This window comes from Homo sapiens, chromosome 8 (genome assembly GCF_000001405.40).
Source record: "Homo sapiens chromosome 8, GRCh38.p14 Primary Assembly".
NCBI classification, from domain to species: Eukaryota; Metazoa; Chordata; class Mammalia; order Primates; family Hominidae; genus Homo; species Homo sapiens.
Window position 1 is genome coordinate 83,503,703 of NC_000008.11, and position 4,487 is coordinate 83,508,189.

The 4,487-nt window shown below is 41.7% G+C and overlaps 2 annotated features.

Annotated features, from left to right (window-relative positions):
- Positions 1,038–1,580: an enhancer, noted in NCBI's record as "OCT4-NANOG hESC enhancer chr8:84416975-84417517 (GRCh37/hg19 assembly coordinates)". NCBI's record gives its function as "activates a minimal SCP1, AML or CMV promoter by ChIP-STARR-seq in primed H9 embryonic stem cells {active_cell/tissue: H9 hESC(primed)}" and the evidence as "EXISTENCE:reporter gene assay evidence [ECO:0000049][PMID:30033119]".
- Positions 2,714–3,215: an enhancer, noted in NCBI's record as "NANOG hESC enhancer chr8:84418651-84419152 (GRCh37/hg19 assembly coordinates)". NCBI's record gives its function as "activates a minimal SCP1, AML or CMV promoter by ChIP-STARR-seq in naive H9 embryonic stem cells {active_cell/tissue: H9 hESC(naive)}" and the evidence as "EXISTENCE:reporter gene assay evidence [ECO:0000049][PMID:30033119]".

Genomic DNA, 4,487 nt, shown 5'->3' on the forward strand with positions numbered 1-4,487 from the left:
TTTATTTGTTGAGACTTTTTGTATCTATGTTTATTATTGATATTGGTCTGTAGTTTTCTTTTTTTGTTATGTCCTTTCCTGGCTTTGGTATTTGGGTAATACTGGCTTCACAGAATGATATAAGAAGCAGTTCCTCTTTCTATCTTTTGGAATAGTTTCGGTGGGATTGGTACAAATTGTTCTTTGAATGTATGATAGAATTCAGCTGTGAATCCATCTGGTCCTGGACTTTTGTTTTGTAGGCAATATTTTTATTACTGTTTCAATCTTGCTACTTGTTATTGGTCTGTTCAGAGTTTCTATTTCTTCCTACTTTAGGAGAGTTTTATAAATTCAGGAATTTATCAATCTCCTCTAGGTTTTCTAGTTTGTGCACCTAAAGGTGTTCATAGTAGTCTTGAATGATCTTTTATATTTCTGTGGTATCATTTGTTATATCTCCCATTTCATTTCTAATTGAGTTATTTGGATCTTCTCTCTTCTCTTTTTGGTTAATATTGCTAATGGTCTATTGATTTTGTTTATGATTTCAAAGAACCAGCTTTTGTTTCAGTTATCTTTTGTATTGTTTTTGTTATTTCCATTTCATTTATTTCTGCTCTGATCTTTGTTATTTATTTTCTTCTGCTGGGTTTGGATTTGTTTTGTTCTTGTTTCTGTTTCCTTGAAGTGTGAGCTTAGATTATCTATTTGAGTTCTTTCAGACTTTTTGATGTAGGCATTTAATGTTATTAACTTTTCTTTTAGTACCGCTTTTGCTGTATCCCAGACGGTTTGATAGGTTATGTCACTTTATCTTTCAGTTCAAATAATTTTTGAATTTCCATCTTGACTTCACTGTTGACCCAAAGGAGCAGATTATTTAATTTACATCATGTATTTGTAAAATTTTGAGGGTTCCCTTTAGAGTTAATTTCCAATTTCATTCCAGTGTGATCTGAGAGAGTATTTAATATAATTTCAATTTTCTTCAATTTATTGAGACTTGTTTTGTGGCCTTTCATGCACGCCCGTGTGAAGAGACCACCAAACAGGCTTTGTGTGAGCAACAAGGCTGTTTATTTCACCTGGGTTCAGGCAGGCTGAGTCTGAAAAGAGAGTCAGCAAAGGGAGATGGGGTGGGGCCACTTTATAGGATTTGGGTAGGTAAATGAAAAAAGGGGGTTGTTCTTTGGCGGTCAGGAGTGGGGGTCACAAGGTACTCACTGGGGGAGCTTTTGAGCCAGGATGAGCCAGGAGAAGGAATTTCACAAGACAATGTCATCAGTTAAGGCAGGAACAGGCCATTTTCACTTCTTTTGTGGTGGAATGTCATCAGTTAAGGCAGGAACTGGCCATCTGGATGTGTATGTGCAGGTCACAGGGGATATAATGGCTTAGCTTGGGCTCAGAGGCCTGACATTCCTGTCTTCTTATATTAATAAGAAAAATAAAATGAAATAGTTGTAAAGTGTTGGGACGGCGAAAATTTTTGGGGGTGGTATGGATGGGCGATATTTCTCAGGGCTGCTTTGAGCAGGATTAGGGGCGGCATGAGAACCTAGAGTGGGAGAGATTAAGCTGAAGGAAGATTTTGTGGTAAGGGGTGATATTGTGGGGTTGTTAGAAGAAACATTTGTCATTTAGAATTATTGGTGATGGCCTGGATACAGTTTTGTATGAATTGAAAAACTAAATGGAATAAGAGAAGGAGAAAAACAGGTATAAAAGGTCTAAGAATTGGGAGGACCTAGGACATCTGATTAGAGAGTGCCTAAGGAGATTCAGCATAGTCCTGCTAGCAAAGATTATTTATTTACTTCAAGAGTTTAGCGTGGCAGTTTGGGGATAGCATGACGAGATATCAGCTGTGATGGCTTGGAGAAACAGTGTAAACTGGCAGTGTAAACAAGAGCAGAGCATGTATGAGTAGTTGAGAATGGTGAATAGGAGTATGACTAGACAGAAGATAGTAGGGATGACAAGTTTTTTGGGGCACAGTCTAAGTTGGTCTGGTGTCTGGAATGAGACTGGGGCCTAATAAAAAGGAGTATCTATACAGGAGCTCAAATGGGCTGTACCTTGTAGCATTCTGAGGACAGGTCTGACTTCTGAGAAGGGAAAGTGGTAAAAGTATTGTCCAGTCCTTTTTAAATTGGTGGCTGAGCTTGGTGAGGTGTGTTTTTAAAAGACCATTAGTCTGTTCTACTTTTCCTGAAGACTGAGGATTGTAAGGGATATAAAGGTTTCACTGAATACTAAGAGCCTGAAAAAATGCTTGGCTGATTTGACTAATAAAGGCCAGTCTGCTATTGGACTGTATAGAGGTGGGAAGGCCAAACTGAGGAATTATGTCTGACAGAAGGGAAGAAATGACTACGGTGGTCTTCTCAGACCCTGTAGGAAAGGCCTTTACTTATTCAATCAAAGTGTCTACTTAGACTAAGAAGTATTTTAGTTTCCTGACTCGGGGCATGTGAGTAGGGCTAATTTGCCAGTGCTGGGTGGGGGCAAATCCCTGAGCTTGATGTGTAGGGAAGGGAGGGGACCTGAATAATCCCTGAGGGGTAATAGAATAGCAGATGGAACGCTGAAAAGTTATTTCCTTGAGGATAGATTTCCAGGATGGAAAGGAAATGAGAGGTTCTAAGAGACGGGCTAGAGGCTTGTAACCTAGAGGGAAGAGGTCATGAAATGACGACAGAATAGAATGGGCCTGTGAGGCTGGAAGGAGGTATTTTCCTCGGTCTGAGAACCATTTGCCTTGTGTGGGAAGAGATAGATAGGTGGAAGTTTCAGCGGGGGAGTAGGTGGGAGTGACCAACATGAAGGAGAAAAACTGGCCGTGAGGGACAGAAGTTGGAGAGCTAGCTGCTTGTCTAGCCACCTTATCAGCATAAGCGTTGCCTAGAGCAATGGGATCTGATGCCTTTTGATGCCCCTTGCAGTGAACGACCCCAGCTTCCTTTGGAAGTAAAGTGGCCTTGAGTAGAGTTTTTATTAAATAGGCATTAATGATGGAGGACCCTTGTGTAGTGAGAAAACCTCTTTCAGCCCATAGGACCGCATGGTGGTGCAGAATATGAAAGGCATATTTAGAATCAGTATAGATATTGACATGTAGTCCTTTTGCAAGAGTGAGGGCTTGAGTTAAGGCAACTAGTTCGGCTTGCTGAGAGGTAGTGGAGGGGGGCAGAGCAGTAGCCTCAATGATAGCTGTGGAAGATACTATAGCATAGCCTGCCTTTGCTGGTGAGTGGTGATTAAGCCTGGTGGAACTGCCATCAATAAATCAGGTGTGATCAGGGTGAGAAACAGGGTCAGGTGTGGTATCCGGAATAATGTGGGAGGCTGGATTGAAGTCCAGGCCAGGAACAATGGTAATTGTGGGACTTAACAAAGAGTGAGTACAGATGAAGGAGCCAGGGAGCAGAAAGTACATGTGTCAGTTATGAGGAAGAAAATAGATTTTGGAAGTTATGAGAAATGTAGGGAGTGAGTTGAGCATAGTTTGTGATTTTTAGGGCCTCTAAAAGTATTAAAGCAGCGGCAGCCGCTGCATGCAGACATGAGGGCTAGCCTAAAACAGTAAGATCAAGTTGTTTGCACAGAAAGGCTACAGGGTGCGGTCCTGGCTCTTGTGTAAGAATTCTGGCTGCAATAACCATGCCTAGGAAGGAAAGGAGTTGTTGTTTTGTAAGGGATTGAGGTTTGGGAGATTAATTGGACACAATCAGCAGGGAAAGCACGTGTGTTTTTATGAGAATTATGCCGAGATAGGTAACAGATGAGGATGAAATCTGGACTTGACTGAAGTAATGGGGGCTGTCTGTGAAGTCTTGCGGCAGTACAGCCCAGGCAATTTGCTAAGCCTAACGGGTGTCAGGATCAGTAAGTGAAAGCAAAGAGAGGCTGGGATGAAGGGTGCAAAGGAATAGTAAAGAAAACATGTTTGAAATCCTTAACAGAATAATGGGTTGTAGAGGGAGGTATTGAGGATAGGAGAGTATATGGGTTTGGCACCATGTGGGGATAGGCAAAACAATTTGGTTGATAAGGCGCAGATTCTGAACTAACCTGTAAGCCTTGTCTGGTTTTAGGACAGGTAAAATGGGTGAATGGTAAGAAGAGTTTATAGGCTTTAAAAGGCCATGCTGTAACAGGCGATTGATAACAGGCTTTAATCCTTTCAAAGCATGCTGTGGGATGGGATATTGGCATTGAGCGGGGTAAGAGTGATTAGGTTTTAATGGGATGGTAAGGGGTGCATGATCGGTCACTAAGGAGGGAGTAGAGGTGACTTATACTTGTGGGTTAAGGTGGGGAGATATAAGGGGAGGATGTGAAGGAGGCTTTGAACTCGGAGAAAAGGTGGCAATGAGGTGTGGCTGTAGCCCATGAATAGTCAGGGAAGCAGATAATTTAGTTAAAGTGACTCGGCCTAATAAGGGAACTGGGCAGGTGGGGATAACTAAAAAGGAGGGCTTAAAAGAGTATTGTCTAAGTTG